Source organism: Homo sapiens, chromosome 2 (assembly GCF_000001405.40).
Source record: "Homo sapiens chromosome 2, GRCh38.p14 Primary Assembly".
NCBI classification, from domain to species: Eukaryota; Metazoa; Chordata; class Mammalia; order Primates; family Hominidae; genus Homo; species Homo sapiens.
Window position 1 is genome coordinate 101,551,105 of NC_000002.12, and position 18,484 is coordinate 101,569,588.

Sequence of the window (18,484 nt, forward strand, 5' to 3'; positions counted from 1 at the left end):
AAAAGAAGGAAGCATTTCTCCTGGAGTCTTACCTACAAGTGGACAGGTGACAAGTGGCAGTAACTGGACAGGGAAAGATCGCTTACACAGGTGACAACCACTAGGACACATGGTCTGCATGAATGAATGAGGGGAGTCAACAAAATCCAGTGCCCCTGACACTGAAAGGCAGCAATGCACACACAAAATGAGCCCCTTGTTTGCTGGTGGCTGCTCATCCTCACACTTGCTCTGAGTTGAGGACAGGGGTGTGGATGGCGGGGACGTTGGGAGTTTGGACGGAGCAGAGATGGAGCTGCTATCCAGGAAACATCTTGACCCTGTGATCCCACTCTGCACTTACAGGCTCGGCTTCCTGGATGCAACATGAGGGATTCTGTGTGAAAAGTTAAATACAACTTTTGGTTTAGTGTTTCTGGACAGGAAGTGCAGTTTGAAAGTGAGGAAGATGAAAAACATATTGACAAAGGAGACACAATCATGAAAATTGAGCCCAAGGGAAAACCAGAGCCTTTATTCTGAACACTGAGAAGACTATTGAAGGTATGGTGTTTTGTGGTGATGGTTGTTTCTGGTTTTGTTTTAGGGCAGCCTGAAACAGGATGTGATGCAGGACTGGAACAATCCAAACTTCAGTTTTCTCTGAGCAAAACATCACCCTTGACCTAGGGAGAAACTGCAGAAACAGAGTATTTAACGATTTCTTATAACTTTTGCTGCATATGCTGGGGATGGCTTTTTCATCTTTAAATACCAGCACATTAATTTTATTTCAAACACCAATACTTGAAGGCTTCTGATGGTAATGGAGGTTAAATGGCTTTCATCTGTCATGAAAGACAATGGGTTTCTTTTGTTGATAGCCTTATTGCCTGCTTTCTGTATGTCCACACTGCAGAGTGTGTGTCACAGAGACCTAGAAACAAACACAGTTCTCCTGTTTCCATTTGGAATCTATGTGCCGTTTCCCTAGTTCTGTGCATGTGCCCAGTTCCTCATTAGCCCTTCACACAATGAGCCAACACCAATTCATACTCCAGACGTGAATCAATAACTTTATAGCCTTGGTTCTTAAACTTTATACCTTGGAAAATGTCAAATATATACCAAGCCAGAGAGGAATCTCCCACTGAACCGCCACGTGTCCATAAGCAGCATCTACAATGACCGTCTATATCCCCACCAGCTCCCCGCTGCCTAGTTGATTTTGAAGCAAATCCCAAATATCACATCGTTTCATCTGTAAAGATGTCATTATGCATCTTAAAAATACAAGGACTCTAGGCCGGGCGTGATGGCTCGCTCCTATAATCTCAGCACTTTGGGAGGCCGAGGTGGGCAGATTGCCTGAGGTGAGCAGTTCAAGACCAGCCTGGCCAACATGGTGAAACCCGTCTCTACTAAAAATACAAAAAATTAGCCAGGTGTGGTGGCGGGCACCTGTAATCCCAGCTACTTGGGAGGCTGAGGCAGGAGAATTGCTTGAACTCGAGAGGTGGAGGTTGCAGTCAGCCAAGATTGCATCACACCATTGCACTGCAGCCTGGGTAACGAGCAAAACTCCATCTCAAACAAACAAAAAATGCAAGGACTCTTTAAAACTACCCAGAATACCATGTTCACACCAAAAATCTTAACAATAATTTCTAACGTTTCAAATGTCTTCATTGGATTGTTTTGAAGCAAATGACAGGCATCCTAACATTTCATCAATTAATAATTCAGTCTGTCTCTCTCTAAAAGACCTACCTTTTTTTTAAGGCAAAATCACAATATCATTATCATGCTTTAAAAAACCATTAATCCCTAAAATAATCAAATGTTCAGTCAATATATACATTTTCCTGATGTTCTCATAAATGTTATTTTAAAGTTGAGTTGTTTGAATCTGGATTCAAATTAATTAATTAATTAATTAATTTATTTATTTATTGAGATGGAGTTTTGCTCTTGTTGTCCAGGCAATGGCACGATCTCAGCTCACCACAACCTCTGCCTCCTGGGTTCAAGCTGGGATTACAGGCATGCAACACCGTGCTTGGCTAATTTTGTATTTTTAGTAGGGACGGGGTTTCTCCATGTTGGTCTGGCTGGTCTCAAACTCCCAACCTCCGGTGATCTGCCCGCCTTGGCCTCCCAAAGTGCTGGGATTACAGGCATGAGCCACCACGCCCATCTTATTTATTTGTTTATTTATGTCTCTGTCACCCAGGCTGGAGTACAGTAGTGCAATCTCAGCTCACTGCAACCTCTGCCTCCCGAGTTCAAGCGATTCTCCTGCCTCAGCCTCCTGAGTAGCTGGAATTACAGGCGCCCACCACTACGCCCATCTAATTTTTGTATTTTTAGTAGAGACGGGGTTTCACCATGTTGGTCAGCCTGGTCTTGAACTCCTGACCTCAGGTGATCCACCCACCTCAACCTCCCAAAGTGCTGGGATTACAGATGTCAACCATCGCTCCCAGCTTGAATCTGGATTCAAATAAATCTATGTGTTGCATTTGATAGGTAGGTCCCTTACATTTCTTTTGATTTGTGTGTTCTCCTTCCCTCTCATTCCATCAAATAATTGATTTGTTGGAAAACATGTCCATAGTTGGATTTTTAAAGATTACAGTCCAATAGTGGTTTTTTCCCCCTTATCTTACCTTTATTCTTTTTATTAAAGAAAGCTTTATTGAGGCATGCTTGACATACAATAACTGCACATATTTAAAGTATATCATTTGATAAGTGTTGACATATATATGCACTGAAAAACCATCAGCAACAGTCAAGGTAATGAAAGCATATGTCACCCCCAAATACAAGGTAATGAAAGCATATGTCACCCCCAAATACATGTAGCTCTCTGAGTTTGGGCACACGCTTAGCTTCTCCCTGACTCAGTTTCTTTTCTGTAAAATGAGTGCATGTAAAGGATGAGTATATGGAACTAGATGATCTTTAATGCCCCTTGCTTGTCTAAATATCTATTAATCTTTCCTCTTTGGCTCATCACTCCATCAGATATTAGGAATAGATACATGTGAGCCCAAAGTTTTAGCTCTGTAAATAAAATCCACAGCTGAAAGCTATAGGTTAATTCAGTTTTTTGTATCTCATAGGTCTTTTCTTTAATTAAAAGAAAATAGGAGGCTCTCTAGCTGCTTTCTCTCCAGTATACCAGAAAGATGTATAAATTGGTTACTCATTGCTGAAAACTGGCATATTTCTATTTCAGTTCTAGCATCGCATGGTTTCCACCCTGAGCCTTTTCGAAGCATTGCCTTTTTTGAAAATAGAGTGAATGTAACGTGGGTTCACGACCCTGGAGGCTCTAATCATTCTCCAACACAGGAAAGCACAGAGACGAAGAATCAAACTCCTCCCAGTGAGAAGTTCAGGTGGTGCTGATTTTAAAACATTCAAGGGATGATCAAAATGAACACAGCAGGAGAGTATGTAAGGCCGATGAAACAGAAGCCAAGGCTGTTTGAATAAAGTGATATTTATATATATTAAGGTCTAGGCAGAGACTGGTGACAGGGCATGAGCAAATTTGGACCTACAGTACTAATAAAAAGTGATGAAGGCCAGGCATGGTCATTCACGCCTGTAATCACACCACTTTGGGAGGCTGAGGCAGGTGCATCACCTGAGGTTAGGAGTCCGAGACCATCCTGACCAACATGGTGAAACCCCATCTCTACTAAAAATACAAAAATCAGCTGGGATTGGTGGCATGAGCCAGTAGTCTCAGCTACTCCAGAGACTGAGGCAGGAAAATCACTTAAACTCGGGAGGTGGAGGTTGCAGTGAGCCGAGATCGCACTATTGCACTCCTGCCTAGGCGACAGAGTGAGACTCTGTCTCAAAACAAAAACAAAAACAAAAACAAAAAAACAAAAAACAGTATGCTGAAAATGTCCCTGGTGAACTCTAAAGCCTTGTTAGTAATATAGTGGCTTGTTTATTTACTCACACACTTGGTGCCAGGTAGCTGGTAGGTCTAGGAATACTAAAATACACAATCCATGGCCACAAGGAACTCATTTTCTTAAGGTGGATAAATGTGTACTTGAATCTCTAAAAAACTAAGCAACCTGTACTTCGGGCTCAGTTTACCTCCCTGAGAGGGTTAGACTTCAAGATCTCAAAGACAAAATACCCAGACAATTCAGATGGAAGCTAAAAGCTTCATTTTATTGCAACCTTGAGCATATCTGTCTTTACTGTAAGGGTCTTTGATTCAAAGATGTCACATTGAGGCTGGGCGCGGTGGCTAACGCCTGTAATCCCAACACTTTGGGAGGCTGAGGCGGGCAGATCATGAGGTCAGGAGATCAAGACCAGCCTGGCCAATGTGGTGAAACCTCATCTCTACTAAAAGTACAAAAATTAGCTGGGCATGGTGGTGCATGCCTATAATCCCAGCTACTCAAGAGGCTGAGGTAGGAAAATTGCTTAAACCAGAGAGTCAGAGGTCGCAGTGAGCCGAGATCGCACCACTGCACTCCAGCTTGGCGACAGAGACTCCATCTCAAAAAAAAAAAAAAAAAGATATCACATTGATAATTCATCATTCATCCATCCATTCATTTATCCATCTCTTCATTCATTCATTCATTCATTCTTCTAGTGCCTCCAGCCTTCTGGAAACAGTTCCGTCTCCCTGGAAATCTTTTCACATTGTTTCCCTGCCTAATTTCTACTCGTGTTCAGATGTCAATTTAGGCATCTCTTGCTCTGGGAGGCCTCTCTGACCTCTAAGTCTTAATTAATACTCTTCTTGATTCACCCATCACCACGCTGGTCAAGTGCCTGTTACTCCTTAGTAACCACCCAACTGCACCATGCAGTAGGAAAGTATTAATAATTGCAGGCTATATCACTTAGCTGTTTCTGCATTTTAAAAAAATCCCCAAGTGAATGCCTTAGAACGACAACCGTCTACTGAGCTCAGAACTCTAGGCTGGTCGGCTGGTTCTGCTGTGTGCTGGCCTGACTGGTCTTACCGGGATCACTCATGATCTGTGGTCAGCTGGGAGCTGGGTGATCTAGGGGCCTCATCCCGGTGGCTCGGCTCTGCTCTGTGTGGTCTCCCCACCCTGCAGTCAGGCCTGGGAGTGTTCTCAAGGAGGTCATGTTCCAACAGAAGCAGAATGGCAGCTGCAGGCCTCCTGAGGCCCTGGCTCAGAACATGCACTGCCTCCCTCAGGCTGTCTGCTGGTTCCAGGTCGCAAGGTCATTTCAGATCAAAGGGCTCAGGAAACAACTTCACCTGTTGATGGGAGAAGATGCAAAATACTGTGGCCACTTTTGCACTCTACAGCTCTGATTTAAAAACCGAGATTGTATTCCTCAGGGAAAGAGCTGTGCTTTGTAAAATAAGGAAAGGAATCCTCAGGGAACTGTCACGATAGGCTGGGATGAGCAAAGAGAATTAAGTTGCTTGGAATAAAAATCTTATAAAAATTTTGTTTTTAATTTTCATTGATGGCCGGGCAAGGTGGCTCAAACCTGTAATCCCAGCACTTTGGGAGGCTGAGGCAGGTGGATCACCTGAGGCCAGGAGTTTGAGACCAGCCTGGCCAACATGGTGAAACCCCGTCTCTACTAAAAATACAAAAAATTAGCTGGGCATGGTGGTGTGTGCCTGTAATCCCAGCTCCTTGGGAGGCTGAGGCAGGAGAATCCCTTGAACCCAGGAGATGGAGGTTCCAGTGAGCCAAGATTGTACCATTGCACTCCAGCCTGGGTGACAGAGCGAGACTCCGTCTCAAAAAAAATTTCCATCGATCGTGGCCAGGAAGTGGGAGAGCCCCGAGGAGCAAGAAGAGGGCTGAGAACTCCAGTGAGTCCTCCGTGAGGGCTGGTGCATGCCTCACACACTCAAATACCTTCCAGCGGATCTTGACCAGAGTTTCCCTGCACAGCCAGGCCTGGGACACTTGGGAGAAAAAACGGAAACGGAAGTATCAGGCAACGTGACAGGAGGTGGCAGAGGAGACTTGAGGACATCCAGGAACCTACACCTGTGCTGCCCCTGATTTGTTCCTTTAACACAGCCAGTTTTGGGGGACATTTCTGGATTCTATATTTTTGCTTTAAGCAGTGCTGTCTTTTTTGTCTTATCATGCAAAATCTCAAACATGTACATAAGTAGGCAGAACCTCATAAATCCTCATGCACTCAAATCCCTGCTCCCACCATGTGTAATTCAAGGCTCTCTTGCTTCATCTGTGCACCCATCTCCTGCCCACCACATTGTTTGAGGCAAATCCAGGATCTCTTCTCTGTAAACATTTCAATATATCCTTCTAAAAGAAAGGCAAATATTTTTAAAATGTGTAAACACAATACTGTTATTACAACGTTAAAATTTGACAATGGTTCCTTAACATAATCAAATATCCAGTTAATGTTCAAACCTCCCATTGTCTCCATAATAAGGTCTGAACATTGCAAGTGATTGATGTTTGAAGTCGTTAATAGAATGACCCTCTGATATTCCCGCCCCCACTTCTGTACTTTCTAATATACTTATTGAAGAAACTAGGTAATTTGTCCAGAGTTTCCCGTGGTCTAGATATTGTGAGTGGCAATTTTTTGCAGCCATTTAACATGTTCATCTGTCTCCCGGATTTCTTGTCGATGGGTGATTGTATCCAGAGGTTTGATTCACTTGTTTTGAGAGAACAATTTCATAGGTGATGTTAAGGACTACCCTGTTTTTCTCAATTTTATTTTCAAAATTCTTACCCTATGAAGGGGTGCTGATAAATGCTACCCCTTTTATTTTCAAAGATTTTCCCCCCAGATTCATGGCTTTAAAATCCTGTGCCTCAAAAATTCTGTGCTTCAAATTTGTTAATTGGTGGTGGTTTTTTTTTTTTTTTGAGACGGAGTCTTGCTGTGTCGCCCAGGCTGGAGTTGGAGTGCAGTGGCATGATCTTGGCTCACTGCAAGCTCTGCCTCCCAGGTTCACACCATTCTCCGGCCTCAGCCTCCCGAGTAGCTGGGACTATAGGCACCCACCACCACACCTGGCTAATTTTTTGTATTTTTAGTAGAGACGGGGTTTCACCGTGTTAGCCAGGATGGTCTGGATCTCCTGACCTCGTGATCCGCCCACCTCGGCCTCCCAAAGTGCTGGGATTAGAGGTGTGAGCCACCGTTTTTCAGACAGAGTCTTGCTCTGTCACTCAGGCTGGAGTGCAGTGGTGCTATCTCGGCTCACTGCAACCCCCGCCTCCTGGGTTCAAGCGATTCTCCTGCCTCAGCCTTCTGAGTAGCTGGGATTACAGGTGCACACCACCACACCCAGTCAATTTTTTACATTTTTGGTAGAAACAGGATTTCACCATGTTGGCCAGGCTGGTCTCGAACTCCTGACCTCAGGCAATCTGTCTGCCTTGGCCTCCCAAAGTGCTGGGATGATAGGTGTGAGCCACTGCGCCTGGCCTGGTTTCTTGAATAAATAAAATGTTCACAATCTTTTCCTCCCAATTAATGAACGATTTTTAGCTTTTCCGCGTTAAAATAGGGAGTGAAGAATACACATGATTTTTGAAATGCCACAGCAATAAATTTCCAAATCAGTTTAGTTTGGAAGAGAAATCAGTGTGCATGTGATCTAACTTCCAGCACTCAGCACTAAGCCTTTATGAGAAGACCTCGGGAAAGGTCCAACACACTGGTGTGAGCAGTTAACTGGAAACCACTGGTTAAAGGGAAAGAAAACTGCAGCCACAGGGAGATGTGGATACTGGCCAAGGAAAGAGTGAGAGAAAGACGCTTGTCAGAAACTTCTGGCATCCAATGTCAGCATCAGCCATCTAAACAAGATATTTCTGTCTCTGTTGGCCATGAGTAAATATTCGGGTTAGCTAGCAGCTATTCATGAGCTTATTGTTAGTTAAGAGTTAGAAACTTAGACATGGCATGTGTTTGTAAACACATGTGCGGTCATAGTTTACATCATCTCTTTAAATAGAATCGTGTTCCCTATCTGAACTATGCAGCCATGAAGGCTGGGAAAGCAATCCTTTTTTATTCTGCACTTCAAGTAACAATCTGAAAAAAAAAAAAATTCCATGACTTTGGAACTGGTTCTAGCACCAACTATGAAGAGAGAAAATGCAAACTAGAGCAGCCCCTTCTTATCAAAATTCCCATGGATGTGCACCTAGCAGCGTGGAGCTGTCCTCTGGAGAAAAGGCCAGTCTAACTGTCGTGCCTATATATAGAAGCCAAGAAGAGAAAGTGATCCGTGGGCCTTGATCTGAAGGATATCAGAAGGCAGTCCTGAAATTTAATATGCCCTCAGCCTCTCCCTCCGGGTCTCTTTGTTTGATTTTTATGAGAATCTGTATGAGGGCTCTATCTCATTCTCTTTTTTCATTCTTCTTTTAAAAGAAACTATAGTATTGTCTTATTTTTAGGATATAGGAAGCAATAGGCAGAGGTGGCTTCCATGGAGAAGCAGTAAAAGGCTGCATTTTAACTTGATACTATGAAAGTTTGGAAACTAATGACACTGCTGTTTGATCGCTGATTCCTGCTTAAAACAGCCCCAGATTAGGTGTGGTGCAAATGAAAATGCCCTCCAGCCACCTCTACTCCTGCCAGCCACAGTTGGAGGGTGGAGTGTACAGAAGAATTGTAGGGCAGTGGAACTCTGGGCTGGGAGCCTGCATTCCTTGACCACGAACCGGATGTGTGAGCTGGACTTGGGTTTCCTCTGTCGTAAAATAGGGGGTTGAACCAGGTACAGTTGGCCATCCGTATCCACAGCTTCCGAATCCAGATTCCACCCACTGCATATTGAAAATACTCAGAGTTCAGGCACAGTGGCTTACGCCTGTAATCCCAGCACTTTGGGAGGCTGAGACAGGCGGATCACTTGAAGTCAGGAGTTCAAGACCAGCCTGGCCAACATGGTGAAACCCTGTCTCTACTAAAAACACACAAAAAAATTAGCTGGTGTGATGGCACACACCTGTGAACCTGTGATCCCAGCTACTTGGGAGGCTGAGGCAGGAGAATTGCTTGAACCCAGGAGGTGGAGGTTGCGATGAGCCAATACCGCACGGCTGCACTCCAGCCTGGACGACAGAGCAAGACTGTCTCAAAAAAAAAAAAGGAGCCAACCTGTATGCACAGAGGACATATGAGTCCTCACAAGATGGGGGGCCTCTGTATCACCTTCAGGAGAAGCAGACACAGCCTGACCATGGGTGAGGCCCACGAGTAGGAGAGAAGAGTTGTTAGAACCTCCCTTCCCCTCCATTCCCAGTGTTTCCCTGCTGCACTCCACCGTGCAAACCGTGTGGTTTCCATGCTGCTTCCATGGTAGCAGCAAACCGTGTGGTCCTGCTGAGAGAGTAGAGAAATAGGTCACAAAACAACTAGGATTCATCCATCTGCCCCTACAACTCTGGCATGTGTTGAGTTGAATCGTGTCCCCCAAAATTCCCTTGTTGAAGTCCTAACCCCCAGGATCTCAGAATGTGGCCTTATTTGGAAATAGTGTTATTGCAGATGCAATCAGTTAAGATGAGATCATACAGGAGTAGTATGGTCCCTGGTCAGTCCCTACTCCAATATGACTGAAGCCCTCATAGGAAGGGGAAGTGTGTGTACACACACACACACACACACACACACACACACACACACACATGCAGGACACTGTGTAAAGACTGGAGTTCTGCTGCCAAAGCCAAGGAAATACTAGAAATGAGGGAAGACTCCTGGAACACATCCTTCCCTAATGCCTTCAGAGGGAGCCTGGCTTAGCCGACACCTCAGTCTTGACTTTCTGGCCTCCGGAACCATGAGTCTCATTGTTCATTCCCATGGTTCTAAGCCACCCAGTTTGTGATGCTTTGTTACAGCAGCCCTGGAGAACTAATACAAACTTCAACCCATTTTGCTTGACTTCCTGTGAAAGCCAATGTTTTTCTGAAGACAGAAGAAACTTCCAGTGCTGCAGGAAACACCACCACTGACTAACAGTTTAACCACTCTAAACCCCAACTTCCTCATCTGTACAAAAGAGAAGACAGGGCCTACTTGATGGAATGGATGTGAGGATAAATGTAACCTTGACCGTAAAGCATCTAGCCTAGGCCTGGGCACACTGGAAGTTCTCAGTAAATGGTGGTGGTTTTGTTAGTCTTAGTTCACGTATGGATATGGGTGTGCTCGGTTAGTGGTCGGAGCTGGGTGGAGCACCAGGCACCAGGGGAGGGGCCTGGGTTGGGGGCTGGAAAAGTAGGAGAAGCCAGATGATAAAGCTGAGGAGGATGCTGGTGGAGCCTCCTAGCCCAGCACCCCTTCAGGGGTCCCTGGCTCGTCTGTGTCCTTGCCTGCCTCTGCCTCGTCTTCATCCCCCTTTCCTGTTGACTGTTGTGCTGAAGAGGACAGGAATGTATGTGTATTGTAGTTCATGGCCATCCTATTTATGGGCAAAATAAGTTGTATCAAACCACCCAATTGGTAGGACCCAGCTTATAATAATATTTGTTGAACAAGTGAATGAGTGAATGAGCAAATGAATGCATAAATGTGTATCTCTTGGCTCCATGGACACAGATATCTGATCCCAGCAACCTGATGAAAAGTAGGATTGTCTTGGCCAGGCACGGTGGCTCACGCCTGTAATCCCAGCACTTTGGGAGGCCAAGGCGGGTGGATCACAAGGTCAGGAGTTCAAGACCAGCCTGGCCAAGATGGTGAAACCCTGTCTCTACTAAAAATACAAAAAAATTAGCCGGGTGTGGTGGCACGCGCCATAGTCCCAGCTACTCGGGAGACTGACGCAGAGAATTGCTTGAACCCGGGAGGCGGAGCTTGCAGTGAGCTGAGATCGCGCCACTATACTCCAGCCTGGGTGACAGAGCGAGACTCTGTCTCAAAAAAAAAAAAAAAAAAAGTAGGATTGTCTTGACCCCACTCATTCAAATGGTAGCTACTCCACCTTCCAACTCAGATTTGAGAGGTTTTAGCAGTGACATGAGGAGAAATCATGTAAACATGAGAAGAATGCCACCCAACTTAAGCCTCTTACCACATGGACTATTTTAATAGCTCAGCATAACTTTCTAGGCTGACTTGTAGGCCCTCGAACGCTGGCTGGGTTTCCCCTCTCTCCCTCATGCTCGTCGGCCTCACGCCGCCAGCTCACCTGAGGATTCACCATGCTGCCTGTCCACACATTCGCTCTCTCAGTGTAAATCCTGGAAGTCAGCACCCCTTGACATCCCCCGTGCTTGCCACACAAGGAAGAGGCATAAAAATAACAGGAGAATCCCTCCCTCCCTTCAGATCAGATTCACTTTGATGGCTTTTCCTCTCCATGATGTTAAACTTAAACTTCGTAATTCCACATCCCTGCCTGCTTGGACTTCCAGGCCTGTTTGCTCCATCCTGGCTCACCTGTAGCCCATGCACGTCAATGGCACCTGCAGATTTCCCGCCTGTGTCCCCATGCTGTAGTTCCAGAGCCCTGCTCTGTTCTCCTATAATCGGACTCTCCCAACCCAGCTGCCTATGATTCCTGGGGCCCTCATTGCCCCTAGGACACTCAGGCTGCTCTGTCTTTTTGGCATGATCCCTCCTCTTCCCCAGTCTTGCTCTTCACTCATTTCAAACACCTGCAAAACGTACCCTCTCCACTTCCCACTTCAGCTCACACCTCTGTTCCATCCCGGCCTGGAGTCCACTTGCAGTGGACTCAGACGCATTTATTTATACAGAACCCAGAGGGTCAGCCCCTATTTTCCCATTAGGATTATCTGCATCTTCAGAAGACACATTTTAACTCTGTTTTCAATTATTTCATGTCTTTGTGCTTAGTAGAGAAGAATCTAAATTGATCAATGTATGCAAAGTACAGCCAGGACCAGTTATTCTATCACTGGGATGGCGAATAAATTTCCACCTGCATGCCAACCCCGATGGTTAACAAAGGTGCTGCAGTGCTGAGTGTTGGAGATTAGAAGAGTCTAGGTTCACATCGAGGCTCGGTGGGGAAGACTGTGACCCCCTAGTGACACCCCTCGGGCCACAGGGGAAGGGAGCTGCCTGCAGGTCACATGTTTGCCAACCCCTGTCCACTAGATCTGTCTCCCTTCATGAGCTCACTTTAGGAAAGGGAGATTTTTGTGGCTTTTATGGGTTGGAAGTTTCTGGAGTTGACAGGGAACCACAGGAGTTGCTTAGTTGAAAATAATCTTTGTCTCTAATGTTGAACTTGCTCTCATCTGAGATCCAGGGCTGGCTGGAAAGATGAGTAAAGCAGGGGGCAAAATGAGAGCCCTTGACCCCTGCAAGAGCCATCATTTACTCAGGAGCTTTTGAACACAGTAGCATTCTAGCAGAAATGAGCCTTGACAAGTTGGTTTTTTTTTTTTTTTTTTGAAATGTAGTTTCACTCTTGTCGCCCAGGCTGGAGTGCAATGGCGTGATGATCTCAGCTCACTGCAACATCTGCCTCCCAGGTTCAAGTGATTCTCCCACGTCAGCCTCCTGAGTAGCTGGGATTACAGGCACCTGCCACCATGCCCAGCTAATTTTTGTATTTTTAGTAGCGATGGGGTTTTGACATGTTGACCAGGCTGGTCTCAAACTCCTGACCTCAGGTGAACCGCCCACCTTGGCCTGACCAAAGTGCTGGGATTACAGGCGTGAGCCATCATGCCCCGTTGACATGTCGGATTCTTTAAAGAGAAATTGTCTCTAGACAGCAGAATATGGACTGCCCACTCAGCCCAGATATCTCTCAATAATAATAATAATAATAGAAGAAGAAGGAGAAGGAGGAGGAGGAGAAGGAGCAGAAGGAGAAGGAGAAGGAGAAGAAAGGAGAAGGAGAAGGAGAAGAAGAAGAAGAAGAGGAGGAGGAGGAGGAGGAGGAGGAGGACGAAGAAGAAAAGGTTCTTTAAAGTGAGACCTTAAGGAAGTTATGACTGACTGACCCTTACTATGTAGACCCGCTTTTTTTTTTGGAGACAGTGTCTTGCTCTGTTGTCCAGGCTGGAGTGCAGTGGCGTGATCATAGCTCACTGCAGCAATGAACTTCTGGGCTTAAGTGATCCTCCTGCCTTAACCTCCTGAATAGCTAGGACTACGGGTGCACACCACCATGCCCAGCTAATTTTTTTAGTTTTATTTTTGTAGAGATGGGGGTCTCACTATGTTCCCCCAGGATGGTCTTGAACTCCTAGCCTCAAACAATCCTTTGATCCTCCCTCCTCAGCCTCCCAAAGGGCTGGGATTACAGGCATGAGCTGCTGCTCCCTTAGAGACCTGCTTTTTCACATAAATTTTAAGTTCCTAAAACAGACTGTCCGGCTCCTCAGGTAGCTCTTAACCTTGAGTTCCTCCAGTCACCTTGGGCTAGCTCTGGTCCAGCCCCAGCCCTCTTCAGCAGTGCCCTTGACCTTGTCTCTCACCCTTGTCTCCTGCGTTCTAGAGGTCCTGGGCTATTCACTCCTGGCTTCAACCCTTCCTTACCCTTGACTCTGGCTTACTCACAACCAGTGCTATCCATAAGGAGTGAATCCCTATTGCTTTATTTCTACAAAATGTTGCTGCCTTTTAAAGGCCTCTGCCAGCTCCTGGCTGCAGCATGGGTAACTGGAGTTCTGTCATTGAGTAGTCAATGTCCACATTCTTACCCAAAATGCTATTCTGGGAGGGGGTGTGGAAACTCCTCTGGAGAGGGATGGTCATTTCCTGTTTGGAAGGGGAGACTGGTTGCTCCATGTAATACTTTCTTTGCCATGCAATGAATATCCCCTCACCCCACAGTACCCTTCCTCATAAGAGAGCCCTTTTCCATCACTTCCTGCCTAGAAGCCTCTATCTTACACTTGGAGGCATCATTTCGTGCTCCCTGTTGCCAGAAATGGGTCCTGGTGGCATCTGGAAAGAAGGAGGAGGAGTTAACCCATAAGAACCCTAGAGAGTGGGAAAACAGAAAAAGGAAAGCTCTCTTTCCCAACCTTTTAAACTCTTAAATGGCAAGGAAGAATAAAGAACGCTCACCCTGTGATGAAACAGCTCTTCTCAAAGATCAAAATTTCTCTTTTCCTTTGAGGGTTTTTAATCAAACACTAAAAATAAATGGATCTCTTTAGTTATATTTAGGCAAATATCACACAATGCCTCCATTTCTTTTCTTTTTCCATTTTCAAATGAGGATCTGTAAAGAAAAAAGGAAAAGTAAAAATTCCCCTAAACCTGAAGCAAAGATTTATATCAACATGTTTATCAGAGACCAAGCTAAAATCAATCATATATGTAATCACACTAACATATTTGTAACATCTTGATTTGACTAATTAAGAAAACTTTTGGCCGGGCGCAGTAGCTCACACCTATAATTCCAGCACTTTGGGAGGCCAGGGCAGGTGGATCATGAGGTCAGGAGTTTGAGACCAGCCTGGCCAACATGGTGAAACCCCGTCTCTACTAAAAAGACAAAAATTAGCTGGGCATGGTGGCACATGTCTGTAATCCCAGCTACTCAGGAGGCTGAGGTAGGAGAATTGTCTGAGCCTGGGAGGCGCAGGCTGCAATGAGCTGAGATCATACCACTGCACTCCAGCCTGGGTGACTGAGCGAGACTCCGTCTCAAAAACAGAAAGAAAAGAAAAGAAAAGAAAAGAGAAAAGAAAAGAAAACTTTTAAGCAATTTCATTCCCCTTCACTCCCATATACCTGTATTTTGGAACAGGTATATATCGTCTCCACTTCAACTTTTTATTTGAGTTTTAACCAATCACGAGCACTTAGCATTCTTCCATGGGCTGCGTTTGTCTGAGATCAGCTTCGCAATGCTCTGCAGGGAGACTGAGTGTCAATGCTCTCTGATGCACCTGCCTCATGGGAATGGATTTTTCCCCCCTTTGAACAATTCCTGAATAACCTAGAATTGGAAGCTTGTCCTGGGGAAAGCAGATGACTAGTCATTAGCAGAGGTTAAGGAGAAGTTCTCCTTCCTCCAGCTATCTCAGCAGCTGCCCAAAAGGCAGAATAGATTGACCTCCACCAGTCTTCTCCCAGCATTACACGTACACCTGCCGTGGTTCTTGACATCACTCCGGGCTTTGGTGAGGCCCCTGCTTAGTTTTATCTGTTGATCATAAACAAGTGGTAATTCCACTTCCAAGCACTGAAAAACAACTTCCTTTTCCAAATTTTTCAGTTGCTATTTCCCAGGATGGAGTTTAAAAGGAAATGGTTGGAATAGTCCAGGTTTGAGCTCAAATCTTGGGTACCCGTGCTGATGGGATGGCAGGGTCTAGCCTAGAGGAGTTATGGAAGGTGCATATTTGCACTTTTGATTGTGAGCAAGCAGTGCTGCGTTGGATGAACAGAAAGACATTGCAAAACCAAAATATCTTAGATGAGTAGTGATTAGAATTCACAGGCACTGAGAATGTGTATGATTTCTCCTCTATTGTTAAAAAGGAAGCTCTCAATCTTGGAATATTGCATTAGTAGGTCCCAGGAAGGAGGTGTGATAAAACCCAAAGGATAGAAGTTAACTCTTCCTAGAGATAGCACTGAAAGCACTAACCTAGTGCTATTAAGTGCTGAAATGCTTTCTGTTTAGACTTCAAAGAGGCTCAAGGACAGAGCAGCTGTGCCCTGGCAGCATCTCCTTTGATAACCAGACCCCTCACCCCAGTGCGCCAAGGGCAAGCCAACAACCTGTGTGCAGAGGGAAGGGAGAATATCACTGATAAAATGCCTTCCGGACAACAGAGACTGTGGACAAATATGAAAGATCAATACCTAGGTTCTATCTGATACGGGATCAAAGCAGCCAGACAGTTTACACACAAGCAAATATAATGAATCAATGCATAGCCGCAATTTCAGAAATGTAAATATACATTTTTATGATAGCCTGAAGGACCTATAAAGCTAGCAAACAAGAATGTAAATATCCAGCTTAGTCAAATTCTAAGTCGGTTTGATCATTCAGGACAACAGTGTGGCAATATGCATAATAAAGAACTGTCAATGTGATTCGTGACCTCTAGCCCAACACCCTACTTTGGGTAGGTATTTTCTCCTGTTTACACTGCAGAAAAAAATTATTTATTTACAATTGTAAAAGATAGGGATTCTTTCAGATGCTCAAGAATGGGGAATTGGTTATATAAATACAGACCCCCAGTAAAGTGTTACCGGCAAGGATTCTGTAACGGTCTGCAGCAACCTCAATTTTTGCCTCCTCAGAAGAAATAATCCAACCGAGGGGCATAAGTCAGAGTTAGAGACTGAGGCAAGTTTTAGAGCAGGAATGAGAGTTTATTAAAAAGCTTTAGGCCAGGCGCGGTGGCTCAAGCCTGTAATCCCAGCACTTTGGGAGGCTGAGGCAGGTGGATCACCTGAGGTCAGGAGTTCGAGATCAGCCTGACCAATATGGTGAAACCCCGTCTCTACTAAAAATACAAAAAAAATTAGCTGGGTGTGGTGGTGTGCGCCTGTAATTCCAGCTACTTGGGAGGCTGAGGCAGGAGAATCACTTGCACCTGAGAGGCAGAGGTTGCAGTGAGCCGAGATCGTGCCACTGTACTCCAGCCTGGGCGACAGAGGGAGACTCTGTCTCAAAAAAAAAAAAAAAAAAGCTTTAGAGCCAGAATGAAAGGAAGTAAATTACACTTGGAAGAGGGTTAAGCCGGGAACTTGAGAGATTCAAGTACATGGTTTGATCTCTGACTTGCGGTTTAATAGGTTGGCATGCTTCCACCGTCTTGCGTTCCTTCTTCCCTGATTGTTCCCTTGGGGTGGGCTTTCCGCATGCCCAGTGGCCTGCCAGCACTTGGGAGGGGAGCATGCGCAGTGTTTTTACTGGAGTTGTACGCATGCTCACTTGAGGCATTCTTCCCTTACCAGTCGAATGTTCCTAGGAGGACACATACCAGTTAAACTCTACCATTTTGCCTCTCAATGCACATGCTTAAGCCCACTCGCCCAGCTCCTGAGATCTTACTGGGAAGCTGCTGATCACCAGCTTCAGGTGTTTCTGTTTATTGGGAGACTGCCTTTCCCTCGTGGTGGCTGCAACCAATTATTATTTTAGAGAGACAGTTAACAACCGCCTGACCATCACCTAATGGTCACCTGACATTCCTGGTGGGGGTTGGGGGAACCTCTCCTGCCCTGCTCATGTCTGACTAGCTACCTACTGTAACAACTCCTCTATGGCACCTTAACCTAAAAGCATGGAGACCTATACCATTATTTTATACATGAGGACACTCAGGAGACGTTAACTCTACGATTGCAAATAGTTTTCACCTTACATACGAATTCCCTGGATTGGAAAATGTGTCCCGAATTTAAAAGAGTCCACCCCACTCACTACCGCTAAAGAATGATTTTCTCATCCCTAGGATGTGACATTATCTGGAAAGAAATATAGCTTCAAATAGCCCAAGAAATAGAGGTCAATGTCACTGGCTGTTTTCAATGTACCATAATGTTTTCTGGGACTGCCAAAGTTTTCATGATTCATTGACTAAAACCCACTGACAAAAACATAACTTCTTTCAGATTTGATGTATATTTTTCAAAGTAGTGGTTAAAAACTATTTTTACAAGTATTATGAGGTATTTACTCAAATAGGCAGATATTTAACTTTGTTTTATTTTATAAGATGATAACCTTTTTTACCTCCTAAAACCAAGAAATAAATGATATACTAGCAATTATTAAGCTTTTGGCATTATCTACCTTTCATTACATGCATAGTAAATATTCGGTTATGCTGTTTCTGATTTAGAGATTCATTCCCCCCAAATTCTGCCTTTTATGTTTCATTAGCTATTAATATTGATAACATATTTCTGTTGTCATGATCAACCATGTCCTAAAATAATAATTACATTGAAAACTCAATCTGGAAGAAAAGTGAATACTTAGACAAAAAATTGTGAATGAAATATTAGGTGAGAAAAGAAAAACAAAATAATATTGACACATGTTACAGCTATACAAAACTGTTTACTAGTTAAACAATTTCTGGACCAATGTAAATAGCTTAGCATTCCTGTTCTTTTCTTTTGAAAAGTTGCTTAAGACAAAGACAGCAAGTTGGAAGAAAAGAAGGGAGAGAGAGAGGGCGCCTGTGCTGAAATGGTAAAATTCCAGTTTCCATGCATCCATTTTGTATGGTAGGATAACCAATAAAACACTTCTATGTAGAAATATGGTATGAAGAGAAAAGCTATGGAGAAAGTGAATTGGAAATACCAGTTCAAGAAGAAAACACTACCTTAGTTCATTTTTTAAATGAATGTTGGTGAGTTTAGAATTATTATAGTTTTGAAATTCTATTGGAAACTTTTTAAAGAGCAACGTAACAGTTCTATTTTTGATGTTTAATACTTTTTTGCATCTATTAAACTTATGTAAAAATTGTAAATATCAACTTAAAATATCCAACAAGTGAATAGTTTCAAAACCCTTTTAGGA

General features: G+C 44.4%; 1 long non-coding RNA gene across 4 annotated transcripts, besides 1 other annotated feature; it reads right to left on the minus strand.

Moving 5' to 3' along the window:
- Positions 1-483: 483 nt before the first annotated feature.
- On the minus strand, positions 484-16,797 carry LOC105373514 (uncharacterized). Of its 4 annotated transcripts, none has more exons than XR_923112.4 (5): positions 16,710-16,797; positions 14,713-14,833; positions 14,038-14,194; positions 4,998-5,263; positions 484-676 (listed from the first exon to the last, which is right to left on the minus strand). It is a non-coding gene; the product is annotated as an uncharacterized LOC105373514 (long non-coding RNA). The 4 variants fall into 4 exon arrangements; XR_923111.4 differs by having other exon boundaries at positions 16,667-16,791; XR_923113.4 differs by lacking the exon at positions 14,713-14,833.
- Positions 15,395-15,970: an enhancer, noted in NCBI's record as "NANOG hESC enhancer chr2:102182961-102183536 (GRCh37/hg19 assembly coordinates)". NCBI's record gives its function as "activates a minimal SCP1, AML or CMV promoter by ChIP-STARR-seq in naive H9 embryonic stem cells {active_cell/tissue: H9 hESC(naive)}" and the evidence as "EXISTENCE:reporter gene assay evidence [ECO:0000049][PMID:30033119]".
- Positions 16,798-18,484: the final 1,687 nt, after the last annotated feature.